Raw genomic sequence first — 25,377 nt, forward strand, 5'->3', positions numbered from 1 at the left:
GAACACCCTCATGTGATAGGTGTCCACTCCTATACTCCCAGAGAGAAAGAATGTCATCAGGGGACACCAAGAAGAAACTGAACAAACAGGCCTTGCTATGTTCCTCCCAGTTTATTACCATTAGATCATACCCTTTTGTCCTCCAGTCATACTTTGGTGTAATTGTCCACAAAAATACACAAATTCCTGCATTTCTTTGAGTTTTCATTTACAAAGGCTTCTGTGTCACATAAAACTTATACTAAATACATTTATATGCCTTTCTCTTATTACTCTGTCTTTGTTACAGGGGTCTTAGCCATGAACCTTGGGTTGGGTGAGAAAAAGATGTCACATTTTCTGCCCTACAATAGCAAGGCCACAGAGAACACAGCTTGACAAGAGGTGCATGGGCTGGGTTTTAGCCCTTAACCACTTTCTACTGGACGCTCTTGTGTATGATACAACCTGCCCAAGATTATTGTATGTCTGCCCTGCAGAATGACATGAAAATGTGTTGCCATTTGTGTTAATACACACACTCTCTCTCTCTCTCATGTGGCAGAGAATACACAAGGAATTGGCAACGCTGGGAGCCTCTGGGGAGGAGAACTGGATGAGGAGGGTGGGAAAGAGACATTTCCTTGCATAACCTTTGCATTGGTGCTTTTTGAATTGTGTAATTATTATACATACATATTACTTATTTAAAATAAAATAAAATAAGCCAGGTGTGGTGGCACATGCCTGTGGTTCCAGCTACTCAGAAAGCTGAGGTGGGAGGATCCCTTGAGCTCAGAGTTCGAGGCTGCAGTGAGCCAAGATTGTGCCATTGCACTCCAGCCTGGGTCACAAAGTGAACCTCTGTATCAATAAATAAATAAATAAATAAATAAATAAATAAATAAATAATGTAAAGGAGCTTTTGTTTAGAAGTAGAGAATAAAGCAAACACACACATGAATCTTAAGAAGCGCAGTGTGCTGTAAGGAGTAACAATAGTACTTTAACTACAGGGCCTGAATCACATTCAGTGACCAGACATTGGAGGCCTGAGGAGATATTTCAAGTGGGGAGAGAATGGGGAGTGAAGGGCCAGAGGTCAGCAAGGGGACTCTGAGAACTCAGTAGGCCTGTTTGGCTGCATTGTGGGTCTGTGCGGGGCGGGATGGTAGATAAAGTTGGTAGGAGTCTGGAACCACAATGTGGAAGGCCTAAGTTTCTAGGCTGAGGTGTATAAAGTTTGCATAGTAGATAAAAAAACAAAAGACTTTTAGCTGGAGATGGCATCCGATCTCTTCTCTAACAAATTTAGGTATTATAGGCCTTCTTGGAAAAAAAAGAAGTTTTTACAAATAAAAAGTTTTTATTACATTAGCAAACACTAGCAATATTATTTCTGAGATTTATTCTTTTTTTTTTTTTTTTTTTTTTTTTGAGACAGAGTCTGGCTCTGTCGCCCAGGCTGGAGTGCAGTGGCGCGATCTCGGCTCACTGCAAGCTCCGCCTCCTGGGTTCACGCCATTCTCCTGCCTCAGCCACCCGAGTAGCTGGGACTACAGGCGCGTGCCACCACGCCCGGCTAATTTTTTTGTATTTTCAGTAGAGACGGGGTCTCACCGTGTTAGCCAGGATGGTCTCGATCTCCTGACCTCGTTATCCGCCTGCCTCAGCCTCCCAAAGTGCTGGGATTACAGGCCTGAGCCACCGCGCCTGGCCGAGATTTATTCTTTTTTTTTTTTTTTTTTTTTTGAGACGTAGTCTCGCTCTGTTGCCCAGGCTGGAGTGCAGTAGCGCTGTCTCAGCTCACTGCAAGCTCTGCCTCCTGGGTTTTCATGCCATTATCCTGCCTCAGCCTCTCAAGTAGCTGGGACTACAGGTGCCCGCCACCACACCCAGCTAATTTTTTGTATTTTTAGTAGAGATGGGGTTTCACTGTGTTAGCCAGGATGGTCTCCAACTCCTGACCTCGTGATCCACCTTGGCCTCCCAAAGTGCTGAGATTACAGGCATGAGCCACTGCGCCTGATTTATTCTTTTAAAATAATAAAACTTTTTTCTCAATGTTTTTACACTAAGTAGAAACCGGAGTAATCAATTAAATTTTTAATGTTGACTTTGAAATGCAGTAGAAACAAGAAAGGTTTTATTTTTATTTATTTATATTTTTAGAGACAGGGACTTCCTCTGTCACCCAGGCTAGAGTGTAGTGGCTGGCTCATTGCTCACTGCAGCCTCAGATTCCCAGGGCTCAAGCAGTTCTCCAGCCTCAGCCTCCCAAGGAGCTAGGACTGTAAGTGTGCACTATCTTGCCCAGCTAACTTTATTTTTATATTTTGTAGAGATAAGATCTCACTATGTTGCCCAGGCTGGTCTTGCGCTCCCGGCCTCAAGCAAGCCTCCTGTCTTGGTCTCCTAAAGTGCTGGGATTACAGATGTGAGCCACCACACTCAGCCCCAAAAAGTTTTATTCCCAACTCTGACAAGCAAGAAAACTCCAATAAAACAAAATAAATAAGATCAAGAAAGAGGAACCTAATAATGACAAAAAATGTTGAAACCAGAAAATATGATTCTTTACAAGTCAGGATTTGAGTGATTATTATGGAAATAAAAATAGACTTCCAAATCTGAGATTATGAATTTCTGTATAGTAGGAGTTTCTTTCTTCTCTTTAAACCTTTAAATGTATTAATTTAAAATTTTGTGTGCATAAATGCTTTTTATAGATTATCTTCAGTAAATGAACTGTGTGTATCATATACAGATCTGGAGGAATAGAAAGTGTATTTAAATTAAAATGAGAAGCTTAAATTGGATAGATGTGAATGAAATGCTTCATAGAAAGTATCCATAGAAACCACTTAAAATAAAGAGAAATGTTAATTCTCTTTGTAAATTGAACTCCCAGAATCAGAATGAGCTTGAGACATTTAATGTAGGTGGGATACTCTTTGGCCTTATCTATATGAAACACACTAATTGACAATTATATTTTTTGGCCATGGTCTCAGCTGATAGTCACAACCAATTTGTAGCCATAGAGTTGATGGGATTCAGCTAGTAAAATTGCTAAGCTATATTGGCCCAACTTGTTGATTTAATCAGGTGTGTGATCAGCAATTCATGACTGTAGTGTCCCAACCTTTCGGCAGTTTCTTGACAACACAAAAAATTAAATTTTAGCTACATGTGATAGTGATTATAAAGTAATTAGTGGACACCACTAAAAATCATTTGTAAAAGAAAAAATTTTCCTTTGCAAACTTCCAACAAAAGTTTCTATTTTCCATGTTCCTTTCCAGGCCCCAACACAAACAGAGATGTTTTACATTTGCTGCGGTCAGAGTGTTCAGAATCCAACATTCTGCTTCTGTTGATATAAATATAATGTTAACATTTTCTGGTTGCTACATTTTCTTTTCTTTTTTTTTTTTTTGAGATGGAGTCTTGCTCTGTCACCCAGGCTAGAGTGCAGTGCTGCGATCTCGGCTCACTGCCAGCTCCGCCTCCTGGGTTCACACCATTCTCCTGCCTCAGCCTCCTGAGTAGCTGGGACTACAGGCACCTACCAGCACGCCCGGCTAATTTTTTGTATTTTCAGTAGAGACAGGGTTTCACCATGTTAGCCAGGATGGTCTCGATCTCCTGACCTCGTGATCCACCTGCCTCAGCCTCCCAAAGTGCTGGGATTACAGGCGTGAGCCACTATGCCCAGCCCATTTTCTCTTAATTTCTTAATTTTTCTTTGTAATGATCACAGATGATATAACTAAGTTGATCATTTTAGAAATAGTAACTATTCATTATTACTAAATGTAATAATCCATTAATTGCTAACTGTGTAGTTTTCCTACTCTTCCCATTATGGTAGTTCTCTTTCATATTCTAGCAGATATACTTTAGATCTGCCATTTATAATGGCCTCAGACACGCTCCAATATTTTGGAGTTGGGACATAATCTTTTTTTTTTGAGACAGTTTCTCACTCTGTTGCCCAGACTGGAGTGCAGTGGTGCAATTATGGCTCACTGCAACTTCAGTCTCCCAGTCTAAGGTGATCCTCCCATCTCAGCCTCCCCAGGAGTAGCTGGGACTACAGGTACACACCACCATGCCCAGCTAATTTTTGTATTTTTTGTACAGACTGGGTTTCATCATGTTGCCCAGGCTAGTCTCAAACTCCTAGGCCCAAGCAATCTGCCCACCTCAGCCTCCCAAAATGCTGAGATTACAGGCCTGAGACACCATGCCTGGCCAGGACATCTTTATACTCTTTTTTTTTTTTTTAAGATGGAATTTCACTCTTGTTGCCCAGGCTGGAGGGCAATGGCACCATCTCAGCTCACTGTAACCTCTGCCTCCCGGGTTCAAGCGATTCTCCTGCCTCAGCCTCCTGAGTAGCTGGGATTACAGGTTCCCGCCACAACGCCTGGCTAATTCTTGTATTTTTAGTAGAGATGGAGTTTCACCATGTTGGCCAGGCTGGTCTCGAACTCCTGACCTCAGGTGATCTGCCCACCTCAGCCTCCCACAGTGCTGGGATTATAGGCATGAGCCACCGCGCCCAGCCCGACATCTTTATACTCTTTAAGAGTTACTGAGGTCGGGCGCGGTGGCTCACCCCTGTAAACCCAGCACTTTGGGAGGCTGAGGTGGACGGATCATGAGGTCAGGAGATGGAGACCATCCTGGCTAATATGGTGAAACCCCATCTCTACTAAAAATACAAAAAAAAAAAAAAAATTAGCCGGGCGTGGTGGCAGGCGCCTGTAGTCCCAGCTACTCGGGAGGCTGAGGTGGGAGAATGGTTTGAACCCAGGAGGCAGAGCTTGCAGTGAGCTGAGATCACGCCACTGCACTCCAGTCTGGGCAACACAGCAAGACTCCGTCTCAAAAAAAAAAAAAAAAAAAAAAAGAGTTACTGAGAATCCAGCCAATGTGGTGGCTTATGCCTGTAATTCTAGCACTTTGGGAGGTTGAACTGATCCTTTGGGAGGATTGCTTGAGGCCAGGAGTTCGAGGCCAGCTTGGGAACACATCAAGACCTTGATCTCTACAAAAAAAAAAAACAAAAAACTTTAAAAAATTAGCCAGGCATGGTGGTATGTACCTGTAGTCCTAGCTACTTGGGAGGATTGAGGCTGGAAGATTGGTTGAACCCAGAAGTTCAAGGCTTCAGTAAGCTATGATTGCACCACTATTCTCTAGCCTGGGACAGAGTGAGATCATGTCTCTAAAGAAAAAAAAAGAATTATTGAGGATCCAAAGAACCTTTGTTTATGAGGATTAAATCTACTGATATTTCCCATATTTGAAATTAAACTGAGACATTTTGAAAATATTTATTTTAGAAAACAATAATAAATTCACTATATGTTAACATAAAAAACTTTTTTTTGAGACAGAGTTTTGCTCTTGTTGCCCAGGCTGGAGTGCAATGGCACGACCTCGGCTCACTGCAGTGAGGCAACCTCTGCCTCCTGAGCTCAAGCAATTCTCCTGCCTCGGCCTCTCGAGTAGCTGGGATTACAGGCACCTGCCATCATGCCCAGCTAATTTTTTTGTACTTTTAGTAGAGACAGGGTTTCACCATGTTGTCCAGGCTGGTCTTGAACTCTTGACTTCAGGTGATCCACCCGCCTCGGCCTCCCAAAGTGCTGGGATTACAGGCGTGAGCCACTGCACCCAGCCAATAACTTTATTTTTATGAAAAATAACTATAGTTCCCAAATAAAAAAATGTAGTGAGAATCGTGGCATTGTTTAACATTTTGTGAAGCTCTGTAATGTCTGTCTCAATTGAAGACAGGTGGATTCTCACATCTATTTCTGCATTCCATCTGTAGTATCTCACTTTAGGTAGTTTCTGGAAAATTAGAATTAAAAAGACTGGAACATCTTAGTATTATCATGAAAATAATTTTGACCTGAGAGAGAATTGGGAATCTTCAGGGGCTTCAACCATGTTTTGTAAACCTGATGGTGCACACCATGGTATATATGGACAATTATCACATGGCTATAGGGCTATATGGTGTGGTTTGCAGTCCTGGAGGACACCAGCTCAGGGAAGAGTCTTCATATTTTTTTCTGTTCAAATAAATTGATAGCAGTGATAGTTTATTGTCAAGTTCTTATTTTACTTTCTCTGCAGGTGAGAAAATACTCATTGAGTCCTAGTGAATTCAGTTTCAAATTTAATAGTCATTAACATTAGCTTTTCTAATTAGAATCAAAGGATTTTAGAGCTGGAAATGCTGAAAGAGAATCCTACAATATGATTTGGTCACATATGAGATGGGACCACTGGTAGCATGCAAAAGAAAGTTAGGTGAGATAACTTGAGGTAGTACACAGACAAGATGTTAAATAAAATATTGAGTAATGAAAAAGTTGTTTCCTTTTAGATCCTCTTTCCACCTGGTTATACTGAGTGAAAAGTTTCAGTTTTTTTTTTTTTTTTTTTGAGATGGACTCTCACTTTGTTGCCCAGGCTGGAGTGCAGTGGCACTATCTCGGCTCACTGCAACCTCCGCCTCCCGGTTCAAGCGATTCTCCTGCCTCAGCTTCCCGAGTAGCTGGGACTACAGGCACCTGCCACCAGGCCTGACTAAATTTTTTGTATTTTTAGTAGAGACTGGGTTTCACCGTGTTAGCCAGGATGGTCTTGATCTCCTGACCTCATGATCCAACCTCGTGATCCGCCCGCCTCGGCCTCCCAAAATGCTGGGATTACAGGCGTGAGCCACCGCGCCCAGCCTCAGTTTGTTTTTTGGTATGTCTTCAATATACCCTAACTACCTTGCAGAGCCTTTAACCAACTTGCGTATTTTCCAGTTTAACATAAGGTTAGCCTAAGGCTCAGAGCCTTAGGTAGATAAGAGTATCTAGCTAGAATTTAATGGCTTTGTTTTTTCTTTATCTTTATTTTTTTATTACCATCCTTTTAGAGCAAGTCATTTTGGGTTTTAATTTAATAAGGTTTAATTTTAAAATATTTTATTTGCTTTTAAAAAGTACAGTGATTTAAAGAAAATAGTTATGAAATAATAGTATGAATGGTATGACGATATGGCAAAAGTAATAAAATGAAGGACTGAGGTTTGGGGAAAAAATGACTTAATTCTATCCCTAATTTAGAGGTAGAAAAATCAAGGCATAGAGAAATTTGATTTGCTGCAGATAGTCGTAGTCAGACTTAGACTCTGGTCTTACTCTCAATTCAAAAGTCTCTCTACTACAGCCTAACGAGTGCTAAAGTGTAACACTGAATGTCTTAACATTAGGGCCTGCCTCTGAAGCCAGACAGATCCAGGTTTAAGCTCCAGCATCATTCCAGCCTAGCTGTATAATCATGGACAAATTGCTTAACTTCTATCATCCTTGGTTTCTTCCTTTATGAAATTGACACACCTATTTCACCTACTTAATATTTCATGAATATTAAATGAGATAATATTTAAATAGTTAAAATGGCTGCTGACCCTCAATAGACAGACCTATTTTTATTAGCTGAAGTTACTTTCACTGAACTGCAGAGCATTTGGAGCAAAAGGATCTTCCTTCCTAGCCAAGGCTTGGCTCCAGTGTGTGTGAACTGCATCTGCCACTTGGATCCTTACTTAATTAAAGGCTGGAAACCATTGCATTTCCCTGGAGGAGTCTAACTCGTCTCTGGTTGCAGGGAAGGGAGGTAAAAAGTGTTAACTGGGAAACTTATGCAGCCAAGGGTTAAAATAGCTGAAGAAGAATTCTGGCCTCTGATGTCTGTGATGCAAAGCCAAGTGTGTTTGCCTTTGTGAGCCCAGGAATGCTTTTGGTGAGTCTTGTTTGTTGTGGAAACTGACTTGATCAAAGTGGGGAGAATTAAAATGATCCATCAGAATAATAGTCAAGGCTGTATATGAAGTCCCCAGACAGAGCCTTGAACCTGAAGGCTCCCACTGAGGACAGACAAGTCAGCTGACAGCAACTGGGAAGAAAAGAGTCTCTTCAGGCAGACGGTGCAGCTGGGAGATAAAGACTCTGGGTAGATAAGAGTTCAGATTTGGTGAGGTGCAGTGGTGACACAGAATGCTGACCTCATGTTTTTTTAGGATTCTTGCAACACCAAGATTGTGGCTTTTAGCTGTCAGTTTTTGAGAGTGAAGTTACTAAGTGAAGTAGGCACTTTTTGTAGTAAAGCATTTGGGAGTGGAGAAACTGTGCTAATTGCACTGGAGATCCTGTGCTAATTGTTACCAGAGTGTTTTAAGGCACAATGTCACACTTCTCCCCATATTAATTTACAAATATTGAAACATTCTCATTATGATTAGGCAGTATTAAGGGATCCTAAGTGGCTGGTGCTATTTTAGATTGTTTACTCAGTTTGTTCCTCCCAGATGAGGATTGGTAAAACTGATATTTTATCAAGTATGAAATGACCTTGGAGCCTCCTGGTTGCTAAGTTAGAATGCATAACCAAGGCAGCCCAGGAATCTAAAGCAGAAGGGTTGGAGATGCAAAAAATGTCTGGTCTTGCTCATATATTTTAGCGATGGGAAAACTGAGGCCTGGAGGGAGGAGGCAACTTGCTCAATATTATAGTCAAATCACCTGCCTTTTGGCCTGTTGCCATGACAAAGAAGCTACAGAAAATGGAGCAGTGGTCTAGAATGCTGCCCACATGAGACAATGTCACCTTCTGGGCATTTGCAACTTGAAATATTGCAGGCGTATCACTCTGTTTTTAGTTTTTGACAATAATAATAATCCTGCGTTTTGTTTGCTTTTTGCTTTTGTGTGTTTTGGTTTATCTTTTTATCTCGACTCCTCCCAGGATACCCTTCACCAAGACTCTCCTATGCAGGTAGATCCAGAGTGAAGCCTTTAGAAAGATCAGTAATTCACCCAATACTGTTTCCAATAAGAGAATTTCATAATCATTTCTCATGTTGAGTGCTTTACAAATCACAAAGCTCTTTAAAATCTATTCTCCCACTAATCCCTGCACAGCCTTAGAGGGAGGCAGAGCATTCATTTCATGGATGCAGTAGGTAAGACAGCCAGCGGCTCACTTTGGGTCACACCACCCCAGAGCCACTGAGCCGCCCCACCTGGGGCTCCAGTTCCTGGGGACAGTCAGAGTGCAGCACCTCTCACAGCAAGCAGAGCGAGGCCAAGACATGTGGAGAAGCCTGCCAATCCCTCAGGATACATTCTCTGAGCACTCGACTTGGTGGGAGTTTCAGGAAATTCTGCAACAAGGCAGAGGGAGGAGGCTGGGAGAAGTTGAGAGAAATGCTCAGACAGTATGGGGGAGGAGGAGGCAATCTGGAAATCTTGCACTGAAAAAGGTAAGAATTCGGGAAAGGTTTAGACATGCAGGATGCAGACTTAAGAGGTGAAATCCCCGGGAAAATTCGTTTCTTTTCTAGGGGCTCCCAGCAACGGCTTCCATGAGGAAAACGTTTGACATACTGCATTAAAACACACACACACACACACACACACACACACACACACACAAACTGCCTTCCTAGAGCACCTCTCCCTCTGAACGGGGAGGTTTGGGTTCACTTTGCTTTGCAGGCCCTGGGCCCCACTTAGCTCAGAGATGAGGGAGAGCCCTGCAGCCTTATCCTTCCTGCCGAGACGCAGGGGAAAGTCGGCCTCTGCATCAAAGCAATGAGAGAGCAATGCGCTATTTTTGTCTGTCTCTCTCCTCTCAGCCAAAGCTCTGGCTGATTTCCTGCCCAGGCACTAACGGGTCTCACCCTCCCTTCAGGTCTCTCCCTTCCCAGGGTTCACTAAAATGGGGAATCCAGGAAAAGGAAGCTGGGCTCTCCGGGTTTCTGTTTGTCTTTGGAAACCACTTACGGAGTCGGAATTGGGGCCCGCAAATGTGGACCCTTCAGGAATGACTCCCCCGCTCCAGTCGAGTTACCAAATGAGGCCAATTCATTCTTTGGAATGTAGCAGCCTGGGCAATGATGATTGATACTGACAGCAAAGCTTTCATGTAGCAATATCCCCGGCCACTGACTGTGAGGAGAAAAGAAAGAACTCTCTGGAATTCACAACATTCCCCCTCCAATTAATCCCCAGCCGCCCCGCTGTGTGTGAATGGGTTATGCTAGGGATTCGTAGCTCTGATGCGGGGGATTTGCTGATTCCTTGAAGCCCCCTGAGGAGAGGTGATATGGAGAGCAAATAATCAGCATGCAGCGCTGGAGGGATGGAAAGAATTGGCTCGGCTGGGCCTGGCTTTACTATTTGTACACTTTTAGGGACCTCCGAAACTGGGTTTGCAGACAAAAACCTGTGGTTGAGGGGCCCTCAATCCCCGACCTATTGAGAGCCAGGATTGCGGCCGTATCTCCAACTAGCTTAAGATACGAGCCTTGCCTCAGAAAGAGGGGGCCAGACCGACTGTCCAAGATGAAGAGGTGACTGAGTCCCAATTCTCACCCAAGTGCAGGCAGGAACGGCCTTCCCGGCCACCTCTACCTCGCCGCAGTCACAGGCTTACCCTAACCAATCAAGACTAGAGTTTGCATTACAGTGTATGCATTGGAGTGAATTGCATTTTTCAATGTAAGTCCTGCCTCTCAAAATGCTGTTTATTCCCCCCGACCCTGCCAGCTCCAGATCCACCTCTGTGAAGCCTTCTCTGCTGGTGAGAATAAACTTTGGGTTCTCTGTGTTTTCAAAGCATCTGTGACGGTCAAACTCTTGTTCTGGTTTGTTGGGTGTGAATCTGCCTCACACTGTGAAACTGGAAAGGTTCCCTTGACCCCCTCACATGGTGTGCCACGGGGGTGTGGCTCGCTTCTCCAGTGCCCTGCTGCTCAAACCTCCAGGGAGGCATAGAGGCAGGCAGGCATACAGGGCTCCGACTCCAAGGCAGTGTCTAGGGGAGAATGTTTACGGCTCCTCAAGCCCCAGTGTGCATGTGTTACAGGGTGCTCTTTTAGTTTGTCTATAGGCGGCTTGTGTTAAACCAGCTCAAATAGACCCTCTACCTTGTCGCAGGGACAGAGGGCTTTCTGTATCCCGGGTTCTTGCTTTGGTGTACCAGAAGAAGCAGATCACACGTGGGGTTGGAGGATGGGTGCAAAGTTTTTTTTGTTTGTTTTTGTTTGTGTTTTTGTTTTGAGATAGAGTCTCGCTCTGTCGCCCAGGGTGGAGTGCAGTGGCGCTATCTTGGCTCACTGCAACCTCCACCTCCTGGGTTCAAGCAGTTCTCTGCCTCAGCCTCCCGAGTAGCTGGGATTACAAGCGCCCACCACCACGCCCAGCTAATTTTTGTATTTTTAGTAGAGACGGGGTTTCACCATCTTGGCCAGGCTGGTCTTGAACTCCTGACCTCGTGATCCACTCGCCTCGGCCTCCCAAAGTGCTGGAATTACAGGCGTGAGCCACCGCGCCTGGCTGCAAAGTTTTATTGAATGGAAGTAGCTCTTCAGTGATGTGGAAGCCAGGATGGAGATGGTTTTCCCCTGGAGTTGGCCTGCTCAGCAGCCCCCGCTCTCCTCTGACTGCCCCGCCCAAACTCTGCCTCATCCCGCCAGTCTATGGCCTGCCCACGTCCTGGCATCTGTCGGTGTGATCTTCCGCCGGCGTGCTCGCCTCGACGTCCGCTCAAAGTCCAGTTGCTGGTCTTCTTCCGCTGATGTGTTCCACTCGTAGTCCAGCAGCTAATGTCTTTACCTTTCCAGGGTCTCAGGTTTCTATAGGCCCAGGATGGGGGTATGGCAGGTTAGGGGGGGTCTTTGAAAACGCAACATTTGCGTGCGTGTGAAGGCAGAAGTGCCTGTCCTCACCTGGGTCCGTAGGGGTAGACCCCTAGCCAGGGACCACGCCCTTCTCTCAGGCACTTCCCTTATCCCTTCTGCATCATTTAAAGGAACTAGCTCTTCCCTTCCGGGCACTCCTGTATCAATAGCGCCGTGGACAGTGCCTGGTTAAAAACGAACAACTAATGTATATTGAGCACTTACTATGTGGCAGGCATTGAACTTTTATATTCATTACCACAATCTTCACAGCAATCTCTGGAATAGGTACTATTATCAGCTTTATTTGTTCAGAGAGGAAAGAGGCGTAGGAACCATCGTAGGGTCACCAAGTGGAAGCAGTAACTTGTAGGTAGGGAGAGTCAGATTCGAACAAGGCTCTCTCATCACAATCTCTGGTTCCCACAACCTTTGCCTTCCTGTAGGCTTCTCATTACTCCTCACTGGGAATGTCTGCCGCAGTGCTTCCTACTGCCAAGCGTGCACACCCTCAATTCCCCTCCCCTGCTCAATGCAGCCTGGGAGTCTGGAGACCCCCCAAAAGGTCACTCTCCTGCTTAAAACCCTTTTAAGGTTCTTCCCCATAGCACTTAGAAGAAAATTCAACCTCCTTAGCTTAGCATACAAGCCCCTTTATGATCAGACACCTGGAAATAAATAAAGATCGAGACGATAATCCTAATAACCTTTGGGAGAACTTTGGTGAACAGGCTGTGTAGCCCCTGGGCCTGGCTCCCTGAGGGCAGTTTCCATTCAAACTCTTCTCCCATCTGGCCACTCCTGACAGTTGCCACTACTTACTTGCTTTCTTGGGTTTCTCTTCCTTCATTCAGGAAAAAGGTGTTAGAAGTAGATTTTACTTCTGGTTCCACTATAGCTGAAAGGAGTTCAAGATGAATACTTGATTTTTAAAGTTTTTTTTTTTTTTTTTTTTTTTTTGCCTATTGTTGCCAGGAACCACAGGGCACTAGGCAAATACTATGAGAATGTTCTTAACTATTAAATGCTCAGTGTCAACCAATCTGCATTTTCATACATTGCACTCCAAGAAATTAACTTTTGCACACTAAATTTGAGCATTCATCAATCAGCTGACAAATGAAACATCAGGCTCTCCCACGGGGCACTGCCTGCCAGCCACTGTGCAGTTTTAGCAGCAGCAGCAGCAGCAGCTTTGTTTTCTCAGCAGCATTAGTACAATTAGTTAAGCATTTCATTATGGGGTGTCCCTATTTTATAAAAACACATGTACAAGCAATTTCACTTTTCATTCAACAGTCCATCAATTAATATTTATCGACTCACTTTTATATGTGGACAGGGGATCTGTGGTGGACAGTCAAGGTCCTTGGTAATGTCACAAGGTCTTGTGGCTATGCCCGGATGGCTGAGAAAGACAATGGACAAACAAATAAATATGGTCAGCATCATCAGAAAATCAAACTGGTTGAAATGATAGAGGAGTGAGTGGGCCTGCTTTAGAACAGTCAGAGGAAGGGCTTTCTAAGCAGTGACTTGACCTGTACAAGAAGGATCCATCCAATGGAAATAATTGGAAGTATAGCATTCCAAACAAAAGGCAAGGGCCTGAGGTGGGGAGAAGCCTGGTTTCTTTGGAGACAGTAAGAAGGCTGGTGGGACTCAAGGATTTGAGTGAGCAGGAGATGGAGTGGGAGATTAGGTGGGAGATATGAGCAAATAGATCATTAGGGTCCTGTAGGGCAATGGCTTTCAACTCTTTTAATGTGGCCCCAGAGTAAGAAATGTATTTTCCATCACAGTCCAGCACACACACGTATCTGAGAGAAAAACTTCATGAAATAACACTTTTTTTTTTTTTAGATGGGTCTCACTCTGTCACCCAGACTGGAGTGTAGTGGCCCAATAACAGCTCACTGCAGCCTCAGCCTCTGGGGCTGATCCTCCCACCTCAGCCCCCTTCCCCTGCCAGTGGCTGGGACTACAGGCCCACACCACTACACCTGGCTCATTTTGTATTTTTTGTAGACACTGGGTTTCAACATTTTGCCCAGGCTGGTTCGAACTCCTATGCTCAAGCCATCTGCCTCAGCCTCCCAAAGTGCTGGGATTACATGCGTGAGCCACCATGCCTGGCCCTTATAAAATAATACTTATCTTTATGACACATGGTAACTTTGATATTTCTGTCTTATTTTATTTTAAAATGCTGATCTTTACCTAGTACATTGGTTTCACAATCTAGTAAATGGTTTGGTTTGAAAAACTCTGTCCTAGACCATAGTGAGGGGCTTGGATTCTATTCTTGGTGTAATTGGAAACCCTTGGAAAGTTGTAAGCAGGGGAGTAACATGGTCTGATTTACATTTTAATTTTTTTTTTTGGCAAGGTCTTGGTCTGTCACCCAGGCTGGAGTGCGGTGGCACAACCACAGCTCACACTATCCTCAGCCTTCTGAGTAGCTGGGACTACAGGTGGTGCCTGCCACCATGCCTAGCTAATTTTTTACTTTTTGTAGAGATAGGGTTTTGCCATGTTTCCCAGACTGATCTCAAACTTCTGGGCTCCAGAGATTCTCCCGCTTTGGCCTCCCAAAGTGCTGGGATTACAGGCATGAGCTGCTGCACCCGGCCTACATTTTTAAAAATTTGCTTTGACTGCTGTCTGGAGAGCAGACTGTATGGGGGTGGGCAAGAGCAGCAGGGAGACCAGTTAGGAAGCTGCTGATTTTCATCCAGGGAGAAATGATGGTGGTTTGGACTAGAGCAGTAGCAGAGGAGACTGAGAGAAGCGGAGGAATACTATGAATTTGAGAGATAAAGCCAACATTGGATATGGGGTGAAAGAAGAGCGAAGAGGCAAGGATGACTCCAAGGGCTTTTTGTTTGTTTTAAGCAATGTGTGGTGTAGTCATTTGCTGAGATGCAAAACTGAGGATGATCAAATTTAGGGGAATAGGAACATTGTTTTGGGCATTTTAAGTTTGGGATACCTATACCTACTATATATACACTCAATCATCTGAGTGTACATCATGGAGATGTCAGGTACTTACCCAGCAAGGGAGTTTTGGTGAAAGATCGGGATTGACGGTAAAGCTATAAGAGGCAGTACAGCATAGAAATTATTTAAAGACATAGGGCTGGCCAGGCACAGTGGCTCATGCCTGTAATCCCAGCACTTTGGGAGGCCAAGGCGGTTGGACCACTTGAGGTCAGGAGTTCGAGACCATTCTGGCCAACACGGTGAAACCCCATCTCTACTAAAAATACAAAAATTAGCCAGGCATGGTGGCAGGCGCCTGTAGTACCAGCCACTCGGGAGGCTGAGGCAGGAGAATCACTTGAACCTCAGAGGCAGAGGTTGCAGTGACCCAGATCACGCCATTGCACTCCAGCCTGAGCAATAAGAGTGAAATTCCGTCTGGAAAAAAAAAAAAAAAAAAAAAAGGCATGGGACTAAGGGAATGTGCCTAGAGAGAATGTATAGTTACAGAAGAGCGGTAGGCTTGGGACTACTTTCTGGACCATATTAATAGACCTGTCAGAAGAGAGGTACTTCCATTCTGGAAGTGATGTTTTCTGTAACAAAATGGAAATTGAAAAACCATTAGATATACTGAAAGTCACAAGCAGTCATCTGTTAGGTTTAAGGGGGAGAGCTGGGTGTTCAATTACCAAAGAAAAACTAAATTTAAGAACATAAGTGAAGCTGGGTGAAGCTAGTTGAAGTCGTGTGTGCCTGTTGTTCCAGGTACTCAGGAGGATTGCTTGAGCTCAGGAGTTGGGGTCCAGCATGGACGACACAGTGAGACCCTTATATCTAAAAGAAAAAGAACATAAGAGCAAAATGCTGGCAGTCCAGCGTCTCTATTTATGGCTTTTTTTGAGATGGAGTTTCACTCTTGTCACCCAGGCTGGAGTGCAGTGGCGCGATCTCAGCTCACTGCCACCTCCACTTCCTGGGTTCAAGAGATTCTCCTGCCTCAGCCTCCCGAGTAGCTGGGAATACAGGTGCCCGCCATCATGCCCGGCTAATTTTTTGTATTTTAGTAGAGACAGGGTTTTGCCATGTTGGGCAGGCTGGTCTTGAACTCCTGACTTCAGGTGATCCACCTGCCTCGGCCTCCCAAAGTTCTGGGATTACAGGCGTGAGGCACTGCGCCTAACCCAGTCCAGCATCTCTAAACTATAATCAAGAATTTTACAACATTTTTAGCTTTCTGGAGATAGAGCACCACTCACATGGTTTGCATGAGCTTGTGTTGAACTTTCACTTCAGTGTCATCTTAGGAATTCCTTACAAAAATGAGGGTCTAGTAGTTATCCTGTGTTTCTATTTAAAGCCATGCTTGGCTGGGCTTGCTGGCTCATGCCTGTAATCCCAGCACTTTGGGAGGCCAAGGCAGGTAGATCGCAAGGTCAAGAGATCAAGATCATCCTGGCCAACATGGTGAAACCCTGTCTCTACTAAAAATACAAAAATTAGCTGGGCATGGTGGCATGCACCTGTAGTCCCAGCTACTTGGGAGGCTGAGGCAGGAGAATCGCTTGCACCTGGGAAGCAGAGGTTGCAGTGAACCAAGATGGAGCACTGCACTTCAGCTTGGCAATAGAGCAAGACTCCGTCTCAAAAAAAAAAAAAAAAAAAAGCCATGCTCTTATTCCCTCACACCTATGTTAGCTGTTCTAACTAACTTTTTTCCTAAGGTTGGAACATATCTCTCTTCCACCTTCCTTCGTAAGGAGCCTCCACCATTGGTCTGCTATTTCTCCCCAACTTTCAGTCAGGTATGTGTTCAGAATGCCTTATTTGTGTAAACCATTCCAAGAAACAGAAAATTCTTGACTGTCACCTTTTTCCTTCATTCTTTTCTTTCTTGCTTGCTGCCCTTCTTCCCTTCCTCCTTCCCTTCTTTCCTCCATTCCTTCCTTCCTTCCTTTTTTCATTTCCTCAAGGGCAGTGTTTTTCAAATGTTAAATGAAATCTTCAGTTAAAGTCCCAAACCAGATAAACAAAGGAATAAATGGTACCCTTTTCCCCTTTTGTAGGGACCCTAGAAGGGTCTTCATGGAATCCTTGGGCTCCACAAATCACAGTGTAAGGACTAATGGTGAAGTAGATTCATTTCCTTTTTAAGGAGACTTTAGGCAAGAACAGTCTCTAATCTCTATGAGCCAGATGTTTACCCAGAGAAGGTAAATTAAGATTATTCTCTGTGACAGCATCACTGCTAGGATTTCACCCTGGAGGAATAGTGGAGACCCAGAAAGCTTACTTACATTGCCTCTTTAAAGAGAATCATACTTCATCAGTTGATCAGCAAATATTATGCAGTGTACCTAATAATTGAAATAATTTAATAAAAATACATGGATGTGATTTTTTTTTTAAAAAGGAAAATATAATGGAGTTTAAATAATGCTCACTTTGGAATAAGAAAACTTGGGGTCAGTCTCAGTTCTGTCTCTTACCAGCTGAAAGCCTGGCATAAGAGTAAGTAGTGTGACTTCTCTGAGCCTCAGATTCTTTATCTATTAGTTAGACATAAAACAATCCTCATAGGTTTATGGTGAAGACTAAATAGGCATAACATGCAGAGCACCTAGTACTTGGCAGTATTGGTCATGCTGTAGGCTCTTAACATAAGACAAATGGTTATTATGATTACACATTTGCCTACTTTTGGAGACAAAGATGAAAGCCTGGGTCGGATATGGCCTCCAGCCCTGCAAATGCTGATGAGAGGTCTAGCTGTTATTGAAATGGAGCATGACGAGTCTTTAAAGGCTAAGTGAAATGGATTTTGTAATGTTTGGTCATAGTTTGGATAGCTTCTCAGAAATTCAAGTCTCTTATATACCTAAGGAAATATAAAAGCCAAAAAAATTTTGGCACCTGGCCTAACAGCCTAGATTCTTTTGGGTCAATATCACTTGTCCTCATTGTTCTTATTTAATAGAGGTTAGGTCATGACCACAGCTCTTTTCTACATTACTTCATCAGTGGGACTCCTCCCTGAGTTTGCAAAGCACAAAACACAAAGGATAAACATAACCAAGCACCATATTCATGCTAAAGGGTCTGCATAATTGAAATTGAAATTCACCCTCTGCATTCTTTTGTTCACTCAATTAATGTTTACTGAGCTTTGGGTACTGGAAATATACATACACAGATGCTGTATCGTGACGGTGGTGAGACCTACAGATCTCTGCCCTCATGAGGGGTCTGACAATAGATAAATATATTAGATAATTACAAGTTATGATTGTGTGATAAAGAAAGTAGGCATGATGCTGTGATAAAGGCTAACAGGGGAACATGTTTAAGGAAGGCTTCTCATAAGAGAAGATGTTCAAGATGAGACCAAAGAGCCAGCCAAGTGAAGGGTCAATCAATGGAGGAGCTCTCCAAGAAGAGTCATGGCAAGAGTTCTGAGATGGGGAAGAGCAGGGAAAGTCTGCAGTACTTCTGGAAAGCCCGTATGACTAGAGTATAATGAAGGAAAGAAGGAAAGACAAAGGCAGGAGCCCATTCAGTGGGCCTTTGGAACCATGACAAGGTTTTCAAACATTTTCTAAGCCCATGGGAAGCTATTAAGGGCTTTAAAGTAGGGGAGTGACACAAGCTGATTCACATTTTCAAAAAAATCACTGTGGAGAAGACTGGTGGGAGAGGACTGAGAGTGGGTACAGTGGGGCAGCTATGAGGAGCCACAGATGAAAGTGAATGGTGACTTGGAACTGAGAGGACTAGAGAGATGCAGGATATATTTTGGAAGCAGAGCCAATAGGACTTGCTGGTAAGTTACAGGAAGTGAGAGAAGGGAGAGAATTCTGGTTTCTGGCTTTAGTAACTGTACCAGTGGTTATCATTGTCAGGGAAAGAAAGACTGTGATATGATCAGTTTAGGAACGGAATGAGGGGGAATCAATCGTTCCACTTTGGAAATGTTAAGTTTGCAACGTCCGTGAGACAGCTGAACAGATATGCCAAGAAGCCATTTGGATATAGAAGAAAGTCCAGAACTCAGAGAAGTGGGCTAAGCTGGAGGCAGAAGTTTGAGAGTCTTCAGAAAATAGTTTGTATTTGAATCCAAGGGGATGGATAAAATCATATGGGGAAAGAAGAAAAAGGGTGCAGGACTCACCCCTGGGGACTCCAAAATTAAGATGATTGTAGAGAAAAAGGAACTAGCACAGGAAACCAAAAAGCCATGGCTGTGAGGTAGGAGAGGGAAAATGATGACTACAGGGGAAAAATATATATATTATAGGAATGAAGGAGAAATCAGCTGTGCCAAAGGCTGCTGATAATTCATTTGTAACCCCCAAACCTCTTTATATGAGAGTCAACAACATCCATGGGCGAGGTTGATTTTGGCCACATCTCCTAGTGTCACATCTATAAATATCTGATGGATAATTTATTAACATTTCTGAGTGTTAGTTTTCTCATTTGAAAAATAGGGACAATGCATGCACTTCCTAGGCTTTTGTAAACATTCAATAAGAAAATTTATATAAACTATTCCCAGAATACTAGGCATATAATGCTCAATAAATGGCAGCCATTATTATGAAAAAGCATTATGTTTGGAAACCAGAGTGCCCACATTCTAGTGAACATCTTATAATTAACAGTAATTTCCTTGGGTAAACAGTTGTTTGAATTTTAATTTTCCCATCAGGAAAATGGGGACAATAATTTCTGTCTTGCCATCTTTTCTCGTAGGGCTGTCTGATGGATTAAATAGTGTCGTGAATGTGAAAGAGCTCTATACGCCATTCAGTGCAAAGAAGATATGAAGAATTTCTTTTCTTTCCTTTTTTTTTTTTTTTGAGACAATATCTCGCTCTGTCACCCAGGCTGGAGTGTGGTGGCCTGATCACAGCTCATTGCAACCTCTGCCTCCTGGACTCAAGTGATCCTCCCACCTCAGCCTCCTGAGTAGCTGGGACTATGGTTGTGCACCACCACACTCGGCTAATTTTTATATGTTTAGTAGAGACTGGGTTTCTCCATGTTGACCGGGCTGGTCTCAAACTCCTGGGCTCAAGAGATCTGCCTGCCTTGGCCTCCCAAAATACTGGGATTACAGGCATGAGCCACCTCTCCTTGCTCCATATGAAGAATTTCTAATTGTCCAATAGAATTTTTATTTGTCTAGCTTTCAAATCAGTTGAATATGTATACTTCAGGAGATCAGTGAATAGGTTTGAGGGAGGCAATAGCAATACTCTGAGAAATAAAGCTTTTTACATGGTCCAAACTTACCAGGTTTAGGGTACAGCTCTGCAGCACTGTTTCCCTTATGTTCTTTTGGAGGGTTCCACAAGAGTCAAGATACTAACGCGAGGAGAAGCAACTGGTTCCTAGGACATGAGCTATCTTCCTAGGGTACTTAATGCATTGTAGATGCTCAAGACTTAGCCTTTGATGGATTGAAAATATGTGGCCAGCATGATCCAGAGGAAACGGGGTGTTTCTCTGCCTAGTTGTGACTGTGTCTCCTCAGCTCTTCTTGACTCCTCTGGAAGAGGCAGGTAGAACGGGAAAAGGGAAGTAGGAAAAATGAAAAGAGGAGGGAAATAGAATGATACCTGGGGGTGGAAGGAGAGAAATTCTTAGAATTGGGAAGAGGAAACACTGTCATTACATTAAGTTTGCTGGCATGAAGGATGCTGGAGTGAAGGGATGCTGAAGTGCTCCTGGACCCATCACAAAATGTTTGCAGATGAAGAAGCTAAAGTTAGAGAGGGGAAATGACGAATTCAGGGTTACTTATAAAGGCTGATACTTTAGCAATCATTGGTGGTTTTCTATGGTATTTTAAGCAACAACAAAAAAAAAACCTTGATGTTATTCTTAACATGTCTTCCTCTGTCTCTAATGCCCAAATTAAATCCATAAGCAAATTCTGTTGAGCCTATTTGAAAATATATCCCGAACCCAGCTATTCCTCTTTTCCTCCACCATTATCTTCATCCTAGTCAAGTCACCCTCTCCTCTCCCCTGAATTAGGAAATGATCTTGAGCTTTTCCCATGTCCTGGGTATGGTCTCTTCACACAGCAGCCAAAATGATCCTTTAAACACTTAAGATCATGTTACCTCTCTGCCCAACATACCCACTGACTTCCCACCTCACTCAGAGTAAAATTCAAAGAGCTGTCTGCCACCTATGAAGCCCTGGATAAACCTGCCTCCCACTGCATCTCTCCTTTCGCTATATCCTGATATTCCTTTGACAAATGCAGCACGCTCCTACCTCAGGGCCTTTGTAGTTGGTGCTTCCCTCTGCCCGAAACATTCTTCCCTCAGATATTTGCATGGCTCAATTCTCACTCAGACTTCAGGTCTGCTCAAGGGTCAGCTTATCAGACCACTTTCTTGATTGTCTTCTGTAAATTAGCACACACATTCCACACTCCTGTCCTCTACTCCACTTCTTTTTCCTTCTGGCATTTGTCCCCGTTGTACATATTTAGTATTATCTGTCTCCATTCACTAGAATATAAATTCTATGAGGGCAGAGATTTGCCTGTTTTCTTTTCTATCCATTATTTCTCCTATCTGGCATATATTAGGCCCTGAAAAACGTTTGTTCAATCAGTGAATAAATGAACTGAAGCCCAATGTCTCAGAGCAAAGGAATAAAGCACTGGGAATTCCAAAAAGATGTGGAGTTAATTCTTAATTCTGTTATTTGCCGGCTGTCTTTTAGCCACATTATCAGCCTCCATTTCTCCAGCCTGTTACATGGAGATAATACCCAACTACATTTCTTATTAAAGGAAGCGTGGAATTTAACTGCAATCAGGGCAAGATGATTAACATTTATTGAGCACTGTCTTTGGGTTGGACCCTTTACATAATATCATTCTCAAAAATCCTCTTGTAAGACAGGTGTCAAATTCCCCACTTAACAAAGACTAGTCTGAAATTCAGAGTTAAATTAACAAAACAGTAAGTGTTGGAGTTAGGATTTTCTTTTCTTTCTTTCTTTTTTTTTTTTTTTTTTTTGAGATGGAGTCTTGCTCTGTTGCCCAGGCTGGAGTCCAGTGGCGGGATCTCAGCTCACTACAAGCTCCGCCTCCCGTGTTCACGCCATTCTCCTGCCTCAGCCTCCAGAGTAGCTGGGACTACAGGCACCCACCACTACGCCCGGCTAATTTTTTGTATTTTTTAGTAGAGACGGGGTTTCACCGTGTTAGCCAGGATGGTCTCGATCTCCTGACCTCATGATCTGCCTGCCTCCGCCTCCCAAAGTGCTGGGATTACAGGCATGAGCCACTGTGCCCGGCCGGAGTTAGGATTTTCATCCAGTGCTCTGTGGCCCTTAAATTCATGTCCAACCTTGGAGAGCTAAGCACGCAGGAAAACAAAAAAAAAGAAAAAATGACTTTCTTTTTACCATGGGATGCTTTCAACTGTTATTTGAACTGTTATTTTCAGGTCAGCATCAAGAGCCAAATGTGAAAGTCAATGCCACATATTGAGTTGCTGTCATTGTATGGGAGAATAAATAATATCTTTTCCTTACCCATTGCAAGGGTCATAGTTGAGGCACTTATAATAAAAGACAGATTAACAAGAGAAAAGCACACAAATGTATTTAATGTAAGTTTTATGAGACAGTGAAATCTTCAGAAATGAAGACCCCAAAGAAACAGGGAAATCTGTGTATTTTTATGCTTAGGTTTGATGAAAAGTGGCCAGTGGTGCAGAAGTATGATTGGAGAGAGGGATTATGATCTAATAATGGTAATAAACTGGGAGGAATTTAGCAAGGTCTATTTGTTCAGATTCTTCTTGGCTTCTCTGTGTCTGAGGATTAGGATGTTCCTTTTTCCTGGGCATAGGGTGGGCACCTCTGGAATGAAGTCTTGTTTTGTTTTGTTTTGTTTTGTTTGTTTGTTTGTTTTTGAGAGGGAGTCTTGCTCTGTTGTCCAGGCTGGCGTGCAGTGGTGCGATCTCGGCTCACTGCAACCTCTGCCTCCCGGGTTCAAGTGATTCTTCTGCCTCACCCTCCTGAGTAGCTGGGATTACAGGCACATGCCACCATGCCCGGCTAATTTTTTTGTATTTTTAGTAGAGATGGGGTTTCACCATGTTGGTCAGGCTGGTCTTGAACTCCTAACCTCGTGATCTGCCCATCTGGGCCTCCTAAAGTGCTGGGATTACAGGCGTAAACCACTGTGCTGGCCGGAATGAAGGTTTTATGACCTACTTCAGAAGAATGTCAGCTAGGTTTTATGGCCTGCTTCAGGGGAGAAAGGGTGAGGGGAAGTTGAGAATGACCTTCCTGCTTCTGCTGTTTTCTCTAATGCTAAGGTGCCATATGTCCTGAACCTCATCATCATCAAATATTGATAAAAGGACCACAGTGTGACAGAAGAGACTTTAGCAGGTGAAACTTGTGTCTCCTTATGGTTAAAGCAAAGCAAAGGAAACTGTAGCAAACACTCCTGAAAGAGCTGTAGCAAACCTGCAGGGTCCGCACAGCTTCCTAGGTCTCTGCCTAATCAGGAGTCATGACTAGTTTCAAGAACAGCCTGTGGGATTTGGCGGCTACTTTCACAGCTCTTCAGCTGATGTGAGGTCTGCCATTTACGACTTTGCAGGCTTCCTTTATGTGTGGCAAAATGGAGGGAGAGGTGCCAAGTCACAGCAAAATCCTGGCTTTCTTATTTCAAAGCACCACCCCCCTTCCAGTCCTTTCTATTGCATGTTGTGGTGCCACCCATGGCTTAGGGAATTTCATTTTTAGCTCTCTGTGTTCCAAATACATTCTCAGTGAGTGATGTCTTCTATCTTTCAGGGTTTCTGAGCCAGTTGTGTCCAGGTGAGTCACCTGCCCCAAAGGAATGCCAGATTCTGTTAGAAAGCCCCATGAAAGTGGATCTACATCTTATTAATCTTACTTTCGTCTTAGTTGTACTGGTGAAGAAAAGTGCTTTTGTAAGAAAAGTGCTTTAACAAGCAGGGTTTCCCATTTTTTTCTCAGCTTAGGTAAGGCGGTAATTCTGATAAAGTAAATTGGTTTCCTAAACCAGTGTTATCACACTTTTCATAGTTATGGTATTTTTAGTGGTATAAATTGAAGGAATTAAAAGATTCATGTAACATCAGTAAATAAGTCAGCAGTCATTACTGATCAGTCTGAGGGGCAGAAAACAATCTTGTCTCACATTTTAATTTTCTTTTCAGTTCTCTCTTGGTCTCTCAGCAACACTGTTGCTGTTTGATAGAAATATTGACTACCCTAACTACTCTGTCTTATATACACAGAAGAGAGTGTTCTCAAGTGTTCCAGTAAATGCTTCTTTCTTTGGCACCTGTTTGATCTTGATACAATCCTTTCTGGTTCACAGCAAGTTTTGCTCTGCCCTACAGCCTGTCACACCACCCACTGCTTATCTGGCAGGCATTGCTGAATAGAATGTCTTTAGTGCTAGCCAAAAAGTATTGGGTATATTGATCACAAATTAATAACACATCCACTTTTTTTTGGGATACATATACGTGCTGTGTTACACTCTTTGTGAACCATCGGTCTGGACAAATGCAGTCCAAGATTGTTTTGATTTTCTCTATTCCATCTTGTTTTCCTCTTTTACCTATAACTGTATTTAATGTGTGCTTTTGCCAAGATAATATGTGTGTGTGATTTTTTTCTTTCTTTCAGGGTACCAGCCTTCCTTTCCTTTGGGTCAAATGAGATCACAAAACAATAATAGCTGAGCACAGCTCTGGTTCTTGGTAAAGGAATCCAGTTTAGAGAAATTGCATTAGTCAAAAACAATATGAGTTTGACCCCTATCCACTTAGTGATTGGGTGGTGTTAATCTGAACTCCTGTTCTTTCCTTTCCTCTAAATTAGAGATCATAATGATACCTGTCTATGAAGATTAGATGCAATAATACATGGAATATGTGTAGCACAGGCCACAGTGCTTAGTATAATTTCCTTTTTTTAAATGGCTCTCTCCTTTTCTGGATACCACTGTGTATCTGCTGGCACTGCTGCTAAATGCCTTGGGTCAGGCCTACAGAATGGATGAATTGGAATTGACAGCCAACCAGCAAGCAAGAGTTACTGGCTGACTTTCTGAAGTGTCAGAAAGATCCATATTAACTCTGTTCTTCATAAGAGGTTTAAACATAGCCCTCTTCTTATACACCTGCATTCAATTTTTTTTACAAGAAAATCTCAGTAATCCCATTTTCTCATGGCATGAGTTTTCCTAATCCTGTACAGCATGATTGAAGAATCAAGCTGGCCATGCTTGGAATCAAATGAGACTATTACCTGATCTCATGAGACTTTCTTCTGAGCCCATAAAAGCAACTGCTTCTCAAGACAGTTCTTTCAGGGGAGGAAGGGAGGAGAATTTATCCACTAGCTCCCATTTCTCATTGGTCAAATATTTGCTTTCTAGTACATTAGTTCTTCTACACATCTGGGTTGTACCTATGTGGGACCTAGCAAGCCTCATGTCATTTCATCCCTCAGCATTGACTGGGCAAAAAGCAAGAAGTGCCTAGTGTGGGCATGTGAAAATATTGTTCGGCCTACATGAAATTAGTCAGAGATCAACCAATGTTTGTCAGTGCAGTGACTACTGGTGT

The 25,377-nt window shown here is 43.3% G+C and overlaps 1 long non-coding RNA gene across 1 annotated transcript, besides 4 other annotated features; it reads left to right on the forward strand.

Annotated features, from left to right (window-relative positions):
• Positions 6,142 to 6,643: an enhancer, noted in NCBI's record as "H3K4me1 hESC enhancer chr1:68755969-68756470 (GRCh37/hg19 assembly coordinates)". NCBI's record gives its function as "activates a minimal SCP1, AML or CMV promoter by ChIP-STARR-seq in primed H9 embryonic stem cells {active_cell/tissue: H9 hESC(primed)}" and the evidence as "EXISTENCE:reporter gene assay evidence [ECO:0000049][PMID:30033119]".
• Positions 9,107 to 21,424, forward strand: LOC105378782 (uncharacterized). The gene is made up of 3 exons (XR_947476.3): positions 9,107 to 9,319; positions 16,450 to 16,530; positions 19,478 to 21,424. It is a non-coding gene; the product is annotated as an uncharacterized LOC105378782 (long non-coding RNA).
• Positions 9,454 to 10,332: an enhancer, noted in NCBI's record as "OCT4-NANOG-H3K27ac-H3K4me1 hESC enhancer chr1:68759281-68760159 (GRCh37/hg19 assembly coordinates)". NCBI's record gives its function as "activates a minimal SCP1, AML or CMV promoter by ChIP-STARR-seq in naive H9 embryonic stem cells {active_cell/tissue: H9 hESC(naive)}" and the evidence as "EXISTENCE:reporter gene assay evidence [ECO:0000049][PMID:30033119]".
• Positions 10,333 to 11,211: an enhancer, noted in NCBI's record as "OCT4-NANOG-H3K27ac-H3K4me1 hESC enhancer chr1:68760160-68761038 (GRCh37/hg19 assembly coordinates)". NCBI's record gives its function as "activates a minimal SCP1, AML or CMV promoter by ChIP-STARR-seq in naive H9 embryonic stem cells {active_cell/tissue: H9 hESC(naive)}" and the evidence as "EXISTENCE:reporter gene assay evidence [ECO:0000049][PMID:30033119]".
• Positions 11,212 to 12,090: an enhancer, noted in NCBI's record as "H3K4me1 hESC enhancer chr1:68761039-68761917 (GRCh37/hg19 assembly coordinates)". NCBI's record gives its function as "activates a minimal SCP1, AML or CMV promoter by ChIP-STARR-seq in primed H9 embryonic stem cells {active_cell/tissue: H9 hESC(primed)}" and the evidence as "EXISTENCE:reporter gene assay evidence [ECO:0000049][PMID:30033119]".
• Positions 21,425 to 25,377: the final 3,953 nt, after the last annotated feature.

The sequence above is a fragment of the Homo sapiens genome, chromosome 1 (genome assembly GCF_000001405.40).
Source record: "Homo sapiens chromosome 1, GRCh38.p14 Primary Assembly".
Taxonomy (NCBI): Eukaryota; Metazoa; Chordata; class Mammalia; order Primates; family Hominidae; genus Homo; species Homo sapiens.